General features: G+C 43.3%; 1 protein-coding gene across 4 annotated transcripts in view; it reads right to left on the minus strand.

The window, feature by feature from the left end:
- Window positions 1–13,855, minus strand: part of PAMR1 (peptidase domain containing associated with muscle regeneration 1) — a 98,474-nt gene that overhangs the window by 28,451 nt on the left and 56,168 nt on the right. For 3 of the 4 annotated variants that reach the window (NM_001282675.2, NM_001001991.3, NM_015430.4), the window contains 2 exons: window positions 10,324–10,541; window positions 7,724–7,831 (listed from right to left, as the gene is read on the minus strand). In NM_001282675.2, coding sequence (NP_001269604.1) covers window positions 7,724–7,831; window positions 10,324–10,541 — 326 coding nt within the window. The remainder of the gene's footprint in view (window positions 1–7,723; window positions 7,832–10,323; window positions 10,542–13,855) is intronic. The other variant, NM_001282676.2, reaches the window with a different exon arrangement.

The following is a 13,855-nucleotide window of genomic DNA, read 5'->3' on the forward strand; positions in this document are numbered from 1 at the left end:
GTGCTATGCTCTCACTGTTTGTATCCTCCTCTTTCTTTTTTTTTTTTTTATATACTTTTTTTCTATACTTTAAGTTCTAGGGTACATGTGCACAACGTGCAGGTTTGTTACATATGTATACATGTGCCATGTTGGTGTGCTGCACCCATTAACTCATCATTTACATTAGGTATATCTCCTAATGCTTTCCCTCCCTACTCCCCCCACCCCACAACAGGCCCTGGTGTGTGATGTTCCCCTTCCTGTGTCCAAGTGTTCTCATTGTTCAATTCCCACCTATGAGTGAGAACATGCATGTTTGGTTTTTCGTCCTTGTGATAGTTTGCTGAGAATGATGGTTTCCAGCTTCATCCATGTCCCTACAAAGGACATGAACTCATCCTTTTTTATGGCTACATAGTATTCCATGGTGCATATGTGCCACATTTTCTTAATCCAGTCTATCATTGTTGGACATTTGGGTTGGTTCCAAGTCTTTGCTATTGTGAATAGTGCTGCAATAAACATACGTGTGTGTGCATCTTTATAGCAGCATGTTTTGGGTATATACCTAGTAATGGGATGGCTGAGTCAAACGGTATTTCTAGTTCTAGATCCCTGAGGAATCGCCACACTCTTCCACAATGGTTGAACTAGTTTACAGTCCCACCAACAGTGTAAAAGTGTTCCTATTTCTCCACATCCTCTCCAGCACCTGTTGTTTCCTGACTTTTTAATGATCGCCATTCTAACTGGTGTGAGATGGTATCTCATTGTGGTTTTGATTTGCATTTCTCTGATGGCCAGTGATGATGAGCACCCTTCTCTTTCAACCCTTAGTAGGTAGACAGTCCATCCCAGTTCTAATGAATTACCTCTTAACCCAGAACCCAAATACAATCTGCCTGCCATGTTAAGTCCTGTCTCAGTGACCTCATCTGCCAAAGCAAAAGCCAAAAGGCCCTTGGCAAGAAGCAGACAGGTGCAAGCAAAGCGTAAGCAAAGCGTTAGCAAAGCAATGGTGGGTCTGGCCCTTTCAACACTGATGGGTGCTCTGTTCCCAGCTCTTGGAGGTAGTCTTGCTGCATTGTTTACATGGCTTCACTTTGGTATTTGGCTCTAGCCTAGGTATTTGGCTAGAATGCTGTCCATGCTGAAATAATTCCTGAGTAGCAAAATACACCCCTTATGTCAGAACCCCTAAGCCTCTTGCCCTGCATGAGACATAGCAATGTTTTGGTCAAGGCCCATGGAGCCCAGGATAGTTCATACTAAGATGTCACTTGGGCTAGGTAGACCCAAGCTCATCTCACAAGGATTGATCTAATTGAAAAGAAAACTTTTCCCCAAAATTAAAAAAAAAAACACACATACACACCCACACACACACACACCTTGGTAACTATAAAAGGGCAGCTTCTACTATGTTCAGTGGCAGCTTTTGTTTTTTGGATCTAAATCCAAATGGGATGGCATCCCTCTGAACACACCAAGGAGGACATTACAGATTCATTTCATATTAGGGAGGGTAAGTAGATGAGAGACCCAGGTAATGTGTAAGAAGACAGTGGCCCACTAGCTAATGGTCTTCCTGGGCTCCTCCAGTCTGCAAAGGCTCTGGGCTATCAAGTACATGCGGGTAATAGCCACGGATTCCTTGGGACTGTTCTCCATGGAATTAGCCCTATGCCCTTCATACCCTCTCAAGACAGATTGAGCCTTTGTTTTTCTCCCTGCCCCTTTAACAAAATACCAAAATGTTACTCTGAAGTCTTGATTGCTCCTTTTTTTTTTTCTTCTCCCTGTCCGTTTAACAAAATACCAAAATGTTACTCTGAAGTCTTGTCTCCAAAATGACCAGCAGGGGACTGACACAGCCCACACTAAATAAGTGACCAATAAAACCCCATGAGAAAAAGGGAGGCTGGCCAGATAACATGATGCTTTGAGCAACCTGCTCTGGAGTGTCCGAATCTAGTTTCTCCCCATCATTACTCTATTTGTCATTTCTAACAGCTCCCTCCCAAGGCTGTCCAGGTTACCAAGCCTCAGCATTCAACATGCCTAATGTGGGTGTCTTTTCCTGGGATTCAGTATTTCTTTACAACAGTGACACTGGCACCACCTACTTGTCCTTTTAAAAACAGATCTTTCTTGCCTGTATGTTGGTGCAGTGGTGGCAATATTTAGTGTTTAGCAATGGCTTGAGGAGGTTTGCAAAGGAAACTCAGAAAGTCTTGGGAGAGTTTTCTGAAATCCTAGGACTTTGAGAAAGTTATGTCATAATTGTCCAGATTGTAGAAACTAGTGTTGTTGCCCTAGTCCCTTATCCAGGGAATCCCTTACTTTCTGCCATACTTTTAAATGGCCGTAATGTGGAATCAGAAACAGTGGGATGGCTCCTATTACTCAACTCAGTGCCTTATGTGGATCATCTCATCCCCTCCCTACAAACACCCTAAGAGGAATTTGGTATTATTTTTCTGGAGGTTATAAATGGGGAAAGTGAGGCTCATAGGAGCTAAATGACTCGCTCAAGACCACCTGACTAGTTAATTGAAGACTCAGTGTCAAACCAAGGTTTTTCTGGCCACAGATTCTAAGGTGATTCTTCACCTTGGGGCGTACCATCTCATGATGGACAAAGATGCACCTGCCTTCTGTGTATTAAGGATAAGAGAGGTCTTAGAACTGTGAAAAAAGGCAGTAAAAATTCCATTTTTAAATGCCTCACCCTCAGAGATCTCAAAATAATTTGCAGTAATTCCACCTAGCCTGCAGTATATGCATCTGTCCGTGATGGGAGAGATGTTAGTTTACCCACTAGGGGTCTCAGTACGTTCTCACTGGTTCGGCTTCATGTTTTCATGAACACCCCAAAGTTCCTAATTGTTTATTCTGATGAGAAGCGCGGGTCTCCCCTTTGAAGCTAAAGCATAAAGTGTGCCTCTCAGCCTGAGCTCTTTTCTTCCCAGGCCTTGGGACAGGCCAGTGGGAACCTTCAGAGACTCCAAAACCCAAATGAATCCAGATTCACCATTTTTCTTTAATTGGTGGAGGTCGATTTGTTTTGCTCCAAGGCGTGTCAGAGCCCGCAGTGTGAGCATTGTGCCCCAAGAGTTAGCCTGTTTCATCGTCCTTCATTAGGATGCAGGGGGAAGTCCCAGCCCCGTCAACTGGGCCGGGGGAACAAAGGCAACATGGAAATTAGAGCAGGACGATGAATCCCTTGCTCTCCACTTTTTCAAAACAAGATTCTGACCATTTACTCGAGGACCCATTTTGTTGTTGTGTTCCATACAAAGAAACAGGAAACTTCAGAGGGAAGAAGGGGCCCCAGTTTCCTACACGGTGGCCCAAGGAGGCTGGAGGTTGCTGACGGTGTTGGCAGGAGGCTAGCTTGGCCTCAAGGCGGAGGAGGGGGCCGTTCCCCTTGTTGTGCTTCCAAGGAGGTCACCCAGGCACCGGGGGAAGTTTTTCCTCCTTCGGAAACAATCTAGGGCAGGTGAGGCCTGGGGTAGCAGCCCTTGAAGACTGTCCCATCGGAGGCTCTCACACCTTCTTGACAGCTGGTACTAGGCCAAATCTAGCTGATTATTTTGCATTCTTTATCTCCTGTCCCATGAAAGTCTGAAGGAGAAATTTCTCCCCAGACCAATGGAATTCCTTTGCAAATAAATTCATTTCCAGCTTGACAAGGATGGATCCTAGTTTCTGAAATGCAGGTCCCAAGTCTTATTTTGAGGACAGGTGTTGATAATGAATGGCTCGTCTTCTAAATTGCCAAAACCTTTTAGTGACCACAGTAGCTCTCAAAATCAAAATACGTGTACCCTTTGAATGAACAGTTCAGCATCTAAGAATTTATCTTACAAAAATATTTCTATGTATGAACAAAGAAATATATGTAAGGATATTCATTGCAGTGCTCTTCATAATAGCAAAATGTTAAAAGCAATATCAAGTCCATCTTAAGGACTTGGATGAATATATAATTATATTAACACATTCAGCCTTTCAATGACTATTCAGCAATCATTTTTTCAAATCAGAATACCAACATGGACTGATCTTGAAAAAATATCCATAACATGGGGACTGAAAATAAATTGAAAAATTGTATGCATACTTAACTCACTTGTGTTTAAAACAAGGTTTTTCAACCTTGGCACTACTGATCTTTGAGCCAGATAACTGTTGTGGGGCCTGTCCTGTGCAGTGTAGGATGTTTAGCAGCATCACTGGCCTCTACCCACTAGATGCCAGCAGCACACCACCTCACTCCTACAATTATCACAGCCAACACTGTTTCCAGACATTGCCAAATGTCCCCTGTGAGTAGAGATGGAGAGCAAAATCACCCCTGGTTGAGAACCACTGATTTAAAATAATGACACATAGACCACTTAGGTTTGCATACCGCAGAAAAAAAGGTCTAGAAGAATATCCTCCAAGTTCTTACAATGCTTCCACTGGGAACCAGGATTGGCCAGGAAAAAACAATGTTCTCTTTTTATTCTATACACCTCTGTACTGTTTGATTTTTTTGACATATATTTCTGCAATTAAGTAGAAAATCTACTTCTATTCCACTCCACTCACAGACATACACGTACATTAGGAAAATAAAGAGAATAGCTTCTATCAAGAGTCTGTACATCGGAATTCTATTTGGAAAAGAGAAACAGATGAGCTTTAACTGGGATGGGAAGTCCTTTAAGAGGACTCGCTAATGGGACATGATGGTAACCAGAGTTCATCAGTGAAGCATCTGGAGTCTCACCAAGACATACAGCAAGTGTCGTGTCTGAGAGATTGTGAACTAAGTGGGAAATGTGAAATTATGGCCTCTGGTTTTGAATTTGATGGGGACCAGTGTCTTGCATTCTCTGCTTCAAATCACTCATTTGCAAAACTGAGCATCTACCTTTCCACAAAGACTTGAAGAGAACATTAAAGCAGCACCTGTGAAATGATTTGCCCTCATCAGATTTGGCACTGCATAAATGAAAGATTTCTCATTAATGTTGATTTTGGTCATTAATATTGATTTTAAAGCCATTAAAAAAAAAGAGCCTAGTCTAATTTGGGCACTTCAGAGTTTGGGGAACCCCAGATGCTTGGGTTTCTTCCTAATTTCAAAAGAATTCCCGCCAGGATGTTTTGAATTTGTTGGTATCCTCATGAGGAAAACAAGAAAATAAATCTTTTTGCTCTTTTTTGCTTTTCTAACTGATAGACTGCTCTGGAAAAATTGCTAAGGTTTACTCAGAAATTATAACATAAACTGCCATAGCCATTTTTTGTGACGTGTCCCCCAGTGAGTTAGTTGATACTCATGCCAAATTTCCTAGAAGGAAAAATGAACCTGGATCTTACAGAAAACAGACAAACAAAAAACATTTAGTTCCCCCATACTGATGCCAGTAAATGACATATCGGATATCCACTGGTAACACCTTCACTTCACTATAACTACATGTTACTAAGGGAATTATGACTTTTGAACAATATTTTGAAAACCAGCAAGGTAGAATTTTCCTGCCCATCTATGCTGATGCTTTAAAGTAATTTGAGACAGTTTGTGAATTAAGTTATGAATCAGTTCATAGTGACATATTTTACATTCTTTTTTCATTATGTTTCTTATTTTCTTAATGGAATAACAATGCTGAGGAATCTGTTTTGACTCACAAGCTACCTGTGAATATTTTAATCATAAGTTTTGGACCAATTTATTTTTCTTTCCTAATTTGACTCAGCTTCCTAAAGACATTTTGGCTTTATCTGGTGATGTTTTACTTCTTTCCAATTCTATTTTTTTTTTTTTATCAAAGTATTGTGTAATTCGTTCATCAAGAAATTAAGCCTTCCCTCTTTTTGTTTCCTCCTCTGAAGCTCAGTATTTGCTATTGTCAAGAATCTAGAATCGCTCTACATACAAATTCTTGAAGCCAAGAGAATGCAACATTTCTCTGGTCTGCCTTGCACACAACATGGCAGGCTCAAATGAGGCAAGAACCACGAAGCAGAACATCATTTTCTATGTCTCTAGCAGTCACACTCAAGTGAGCTGTGCCAAACCAGGGCAAGGATGCTCTTAGTAGAAATCAATGGCACACACAGGGACCCACTATTGAAACCATGGTTTCCATCTGCATTGTTTGCAAGAAAACATTAGTGAAAACTGGGCCAGTGCAGTGGCTCACCCCTGTAATCCCAGCACTTTGGGAGGCCGAGGCGGGTGGATCACGAGGTCAGGAGATCAAGACCATCCTGGCTAACACGGTGCAAACCCGTCTCTGTTAAAAATACAAAAAATTAGCCGGGTGTGGTGGCGGGCGCCTGTAGTCCCAGCTACTTGGGAGGCTGAGGCAGGAGAATGGCGTGAACCCAGGAGGCGGAGCTTGCAGTGAGCCGAGATCGCGCCACTGCACTCTAGCCTGGGCGACAGAGAGAGGCTCTATCTCAAAAAAAAAAAAAAAAAAAAAGGAAAACATTAGTGAAAATTAATTCAAAACATACACAAACTTTAGAGAATACTGCCAGACCAGGCTGTTAGATGACCACAGAGTACCTGTGCACTCTAGTTAGAAGTGACTGTAGTAGATATTGTTGGTGCTCTGCCCTCGGGTCTATTTTCTGTGTTTCTGTGGGCCCTTTTCCCCTCCCCATCCTATGGTATTTTACTTCCAATGGCCTGTACTTGTGATTCTCTTTCAGGGAACTGCTCAGGGGCTACTGGAACCACTTTGCCCACATGCATAGAAAGCCATATGTGCCCACGGTTTATGTCCTCCAGTTCCCCAGGGCAGCCCGCACCCAATGACTGATTGCTGTGGGCATATGAAAGCCCAGATCCCTTGCCTTAAAGCTAGAACATTACTCTAAGGAGTAATGTACATTCCAGATCTCATGACAGGTTAACACTGAGGTTGGTATTTTGCCTGAAATCGCACCCCTACTTGGCCTCCTTCCCTTCCCAGGCCAGCTTCCCACACCCCTATAAGCTTCCCCAGGGAGCCTGTCCTTAACACTTCACTTGTGTACACATTCTCAACTCACGATCTGCTTTGGGAAAACCTACCTAGGAGACTCTCTGTCCTCCTTTGCTCTCCCCCAAATTCTTGTCCTTATGCACATCACATTCCATGCTGATGGCTTCCATCTGTGACACCTGTTTTCGGTCTGGTAACCAAGGCCTTATATAAGACATGTGTTAAAACATGACCATATAGTTTGTCATCCAATTCAAGACACTTTGCTCACGAAAGAGGATGCTATTAATAATTTTGCTCAGCAAAATGTATATCTACCACCCTCATTGCAGGGCTTCAAGTTATGCAATAAGTCACATTGGAGCCTGTGAATGGTGCCAGAGTATAAATCTAAAATACAGATCTTAGAATGGACAGGGATACAGACTGAGCCACAGGAAAGTTTGTTGACCTTTTTCAGTGTTTTTGAGCTCTGAATATTACTAGAGGCCATTGTATCTTTCTAAGAGGTATTTGCAGCAAGTGAGGGTTGGAAATGTCAATAGACAAACCTAGGAAGTTGAAGAGAACCTGACTCAGAAGCAGCTATGCCCCTCTGAGAATCACTCACTGGGAGTATCCACACTGTGCACCATCTTGGACAGAGCATCCTAGACATGAAGAAAGAGTTGGCCCTGCAAGCTCTTAAAATCCTTCCATACCAGCCCCATCTGACACCTTAACTCCCACTTAGGAAGCATACTCACGATTTTCACAGCGCTGCCCAGTATAGCCTGCCAAGCAGGCACACTTGTAAGATCCAGCCTTGTCAAGGACGCACGTGCCGTCATGGAAACAAGGGGATGAGGAGCATGCTGTAAGAGAAAAGGCATCCTTCAGTGCCACTATACATTGAGTCGATGTCTTCAGGCCCAGAGTCTTGACCAAAGTCTTTTAATTCCTTATTAAAGTCTTCTTGCAATGTTTTTTCTTCCCTTTACTGAATTCATGTTATGATTATTTGAAAATGCCTAAAATAGATACTCATTAAATATCAAATGTTGGTGATATTATTTGATGTTTTTGAGGGCCCCAGAAGTATGCTTAACGCTCCTATAGTCTGAAGACCACAAGGCAATGCAAACAAGAACATTAAATTGATGAAAGCAGAGCCATGCTTGTATCTCTCCCATAGGGGTTTCAGCGGACAGAGACATCCTTGGGTAGCTGAAGACCATCTTTTTTCAAATAAAAGCTCACCATCCTGGGTACTGGGGCAATGCAACTGGAAGACAATCATTATGACACTGTTGAAGGTATATTCAATAATTTCCAAACTTACATTCTGTAATCATTAGTCCCTTGAGATGTTGATGTGTTTTACTAAGGGTTCTGAGCTCAAATATGTTAGGGAAATGTTGCTGACATTCAATGCTAATTAACCAGATTTCTTTACTGCAGAACTTCTCAGTTCAATGCCCCAATATACATTGTGAGTTTCCTAATATACATTGTGAATTTCAAGCTTATTTGACCTCAAAGCCTGCATTTTACAAGGCATCCTGGGGACTATTTTTCTACAGAAAAGATTTTGAGAAACATTCATCTGTGTGTTATCCATCAATCCTACATTCATTTATCCCAATGTAGAAGTATATTCCTTGGCTCAGTTCAACAAACCTGTCTTGAGTACTTGCTCAAAACATGACAAGGGAGAAATACAAGGAAGAACAGGATGTCCTATTTACCAGATTAAAACTACTTGAAGAAAAATATAAAACGACTATGACTTGAAGCATAATATAGTTAGTGTATTACGAAGAAAGAAGAGGCAATGCTACAAGACATTCAAAAAAGGGCAAAGCCATAGCTTGTTGGAGCAAGAGAAAAGATTTAGGAGAGGAGGAAGAATGTAGTAGGGGCTATGAAGGATGGATTTTGATGTGCAGGTTGCAGACAGGTGACTTTAGCCAGAGGAAATATCTTGAAGGCAAGTGAACAAACAGGGATGTTTGAAAAATGGGAAGTGGTATTATTTGACGGCATTGATAAAACACAGGCCAGTATTGCCAAAGTTCTCCAGGGGAGGTTGAGGAGGTCATTTCAGAGGAGCAAGACATTCTCCTGACCGTCCCTCAGTCCCAGATTCACAGACTGGCCAGCCACTGCTGCCCCTACCTGGCTTGCTGACTGTCCTAAGCCCCCACAGACACATCTCATGTGGGACGTTGCTCAGCCTATACCTGCAGGGTGTCACCAAGGGAAGAGGATTCAGCCACAGGCTGATCACACCACAGCAGCAAAGCATCAGAACTCCCAGGCCCTGCACAGCTCCACAGGGGGCAGGCACAGAGACTGTAGAGAGCACCTGCTGAGAGTTCCTGTAGGCAGCCTCCTAAAAGAGGGGTAGACCGGGGAGCAGGGTCTCCTGGCCTTGCTGAACAGACAGGACTGAAGAAACACTGATTATTCAGCCACCCACCTTCTTTCCTGAGACTTTCATGTCATACCCTATGAATAAGGAAGTCTTAATGATCAGAATACCATTACGAGTTCTTTTTTAATTCAGTTTTTTTTTTTAAATCAAACTTCAAGCCTGTGTTTATTTTGTAAAACCTGATGCAATCTGATCTCAGAACGATGAGAGTGGGGTGATTGCTTAGGATTAAGCATTTTGTTCAGTTTGGTCAAATCCTACTTCCTAATATGATCACAGCAAGAGTTACAGTCAGGCTTAAAGTTACTCATCAAGTCAATGACATTTACCATTATAGTCTTTTAATACCTATTTTATAGGTGGCAAGTGGAGGGTAAATGTATGCCTAGGGTTGGGCAGCTGTTGAATTCTTACTATGTACCAGACTATGCCAAGCTCTCCATTTGTTCTGTCTCTCAGAGCCTCCTTAATGGAGAAGGATCTACTATTACTCCCTTATCACTCATTAGGAAACAGAGGCCCAGTGGGGTAGAAGAACTTACCCAAGGTCACATAGCTTGATCTGTCAGGGATTTAAAGCCAATGCTCCCAACCATGAGAGGTCACCCTGTGTGAGCTCTAGAGCCGAACAGCTTGGGTACAAATCCCTAGTTCTGCCCCTATATCTGTGTGACCTTGGACAAGTCATTCAGCCTCTCCGTGCTTTAGCCACTGCCATTTGTATAAGGGAGATCATTCCTAGTTCTGGTTCTGAGTGAGTTTTTCTGAAATATACCTTGCTATTTCTTTTTTCTCAGTGTGTAGGCTGTTTCTAAGAACACAGCCTACTAGGTTTTAATAAGGATGAGAGGAAGAAAGGAAGGGACATGGAAAGGAGATATTTATCTGGAGCAAGCCATAAAATGCCACATTTGTCTCCTTGGCCTTTACCTGTGATCTCCTCATAAATGGCATGGAAACCGTCAAAATTCTTGGAGCCATCGGAGTGGAAGAGGACGTGGAGTGAGGATCCTATGCTCTGGATAGGAGCTGGCCGCTCGTTGCCACAGACACGCTTGATGATCTGGCCATCGCGGTTGTCTCCATCACGAACCTCAACATAGTCATACTGGCACATGTAGTCAAACTCCAGGCTCAACATGACAAATCTGTGGGTGGACAGGGTGACGGAGGGAAGCAGATGGGCCCTGGACAGTCCTGAGACCGCTGGGCTCATTCAAGGCCAGATGAGGAACAGGCCTGAGGAACAGATGGTGTCACTGGCCTGATCGGATAGGAAAATGGTCCTCAGAGGTTGGCGAATTTCTCTTAGCAGAGGAGTATGTATTTGTGCACTGTTTGCATGTATGTGCACATGCAAGTGCCTGCCCAGGTGGAGCAAGGTGCCATAATCCATGCAGAGACTCTTTGCATGTGTTGGTCTCTTTTCCAGGGCACTTTTTCCTCCCAGTCTGTGTGGCTGGTTCCTTCCTATCCTCAGGCCTAAGCTTAAATATTCTCTCCTCAAAGAGGCTTCCCTGACCACTCTTTCCAAAGAAGATCCCTTATTTTTCTCATACTGTAGACATAAATTTCAACCTCTTATATTTACCTCCTTGACTTTTTGTGTGTCTATGTGTGGCCTGTCTTCTCCACTGGCCTGCAAGTAACTTGAAGGCAGAGAGGAACACCTGCCTCGTTCCACAGTTTTCACAGTGTCCAGCGCAGTGCCTGGCCTATGGAGATGCTACAGATATTGCCAAATATACGACTGAATGGATACTTTATTGTAATTTTATAGTTGGAGAATGAAAAAAAGCTCATATTGTTTTGCAAGACTAAGTAAAGGGGAAAACAACAACAACAACAAAAAAAACCTCTGCACACTCTTCCGTTTGATGGAAGAATCAGAAGGTAATTATCTTCTAGGCAACGATAATTCTCACCCAAAGAGTAGAGAAAGTAGCACCAAGTCAGAATTTCAGGGGTTAAGGAAACCTGACACATCCATGCTTATCCAAAAGGGGTCTTGGGTTTGAAAACACTGAGATACACCAGATTGGAAACACAGAAGATGACATTAAGCCCCCGATTCCAAGAGACAAGAAAAGCAGCAGCCACATCCCAGGGCAAGAGAGGCAAAAGCATTTTTCCAGGATTCCCAAGGGAATACATGAGTATCAAGTTCACAAAATGTATGTCTGTACCTTCTCCTCCACACTCTGGAGAAAAAATAGAAATAGAAAGGCCCATAACTGCTGCCTAAAATGTTGGGAGTAGGGATATTTCTGCCACCTACAGTAAAAACCCAACATGCCAGCATTAGGGAACACTGGAATATAGTGACAATCAGTATATTGATTGTAAGTGTTCTAAAAGGTACTATTAACAAAGAAATCCAATAACCGAGTTTCATCAGTGTTTACTTCACAAAGGGTTGATCACAGAGCTTTTGGGGTGTAGGTCCTGTGAATCGCATTTTGTACAGCCTGCTCTAACATCTAAGAGGACAGCTGATTTCTTATGCAGATGCCACCATGCACTCACTGTGTGTGTTAAGGAATCAGCTCCTTCTCTTGGCCTTGATATCTTTGTCTTCAGAGTAAGGGAGAAGCTACCACCTGACAGAAGCCACAGTTTTTTCCGAAGCTGAAGAGATAGTGCAACTATATTTGCGTTCATGCATTCATTTGTCCATTTGTTCACTTACTGAACACATATTTCTGGAGGCCAGCTCTGTCCCAGACACTGTACTAGGTGCTGTCAGCATAGCAGTGCCCCAGCTACCAGCTAGGCACGTGCCGGCCCTCATGGAGATTAATTCTGGGTTAGAAGATAGATAATAAGCAAGGAGACTAAACAACAAGGTAATTTTAGAGTGCTGAGTGCCGTGAATCAAATTAACCAGGTAAGAGCATAAAAAGTGACTAAGGTGTTAAGTTTCTGACACAATGTGGTCAAAGAAGCCCCCTCTGAGGATGTGCTAGCTGGGCAGAGGTTTAAATGATGCAGTAGAGCCAGCCTTGTGAAGGTCATGGGGCAGAGTGGTCCAGGCAGGGGAATCTGTAAGTGCAAAGGCCCTGGAGCAATGATGAGGTTGACATGTTCGAGAAACTGAAAGAAAGCCAGGGATGCTGCAAGGTGGTGAATGAATGGGAGAGTGATAGGATCTGAGGCCAGTGAGGGCAGCCTGCGATAGATCTTGTGTGGTAAGGAATCTAGATTTTATTCCAAGTCTATAGGAAGCCTCTGAAAGGTTTCAACAAGGGGATAATGCCGGATTCAGATTTTAAAGGCTCCCTGCAGCCACTCTGCAGAGAGGAGATGGCAGAGCTGGCAGGAGTGGAAGCCAGGAAGCCAGTTAGGAGGGCATGACAGAATCTCAGTGGGAGATGGGTGTGGCTTGAAGCAGAATGGTGACAGTGGTGACAGAGAGCTGTGGATGGACTATTTTTCAAGCAGGAAAATAGACTTTGTGGTGGTCTGGTGGTAGGTGATGGAAAAGGGGCATCAGGGACACCTGCTGGGCTTTGGGGCTGAACATTGTGCCTATGCTTCCAAGTATTTCCATCATTATTACTGTCCCTGGCCAGGTGCTCCAGACTTAACTAAAGGAAAAGAAATCCACACATTTCCATGACTCCCTAAGGCCCTTTCCTGGGCAGCTAATATGCTTCTCAATCCTCCACCGTTTTGCTATTTTAGAATATCCTTTTGCATCTTGGATTTTGGAGAAGCTCCTCAGAGGCCCAGAGGGGACCATTTGTCTTGGTCCCTGAGCTGCTGAAATATTAACATGCAGCATTTAACACCTACCTTTATCATCCCTGCAGACCCAGCCTTGAGCTCAATGGGCGGAACAGTGTGGTTCATCGCTTGTTCCTTGAGCCAGGCTTCCTCTAGGAATTAATGAGACTCATTCCCAACCCCACGTCCTCAGGGAGTGGAAACACAAGCTGTCATGCACTAGTTTTGAAGAGGAAGATTGAGAAGGGGACTTGTTTTGCTGGATTTTTCTAATTCAGGGTACCATGTTGCCCCTCCTGGAGGACAGAGAGACATTCAAGGAGCCAGGTAGCATGTGGTAACCTCTGTGTCCATTTAGCCACCCAGAATATACTTAGTGAAAGCCTGTGCCCTAGAGGATTAGGGATTTTAAATCCGTTCACTGTCACCACAGGGTTAAAATGAGAAGAGCTAAGTGGACAATGACCCTAGCCATTCTAGGGGTGAGTGAGGAAAGCGGGAGGTGTTTTTCATTAGAGAGAAGATACACTGCAATCAGAAGGCAGTTCTTTCAGCATTTATTCATGCAACAAGCATTTATCATGCAACTATAGTGTGCCATGAACTGTTCCAGCACTATGATGCAGTCATGAACGGTTCTCACAAAACAGGACCCTCGTGTAGCATTTATCAATAGTTACAATAAAACAGGATCTATACTTTGGACTGTGGCATAAACAACATTTGCGAAGGCCCT

Source organism: Homo sapiens, chromosome 11 (assembly GCF_000001405.40).
Source record: "Homo sapiens chromosome 11, GRCh38.p14 Primary Assembly".
NCBI classification, from domain to species: Eukaryota; Metazoa; Chordata; class Mammalia; order Primates; family Hominidae; genus Homo; species Homo sapiens.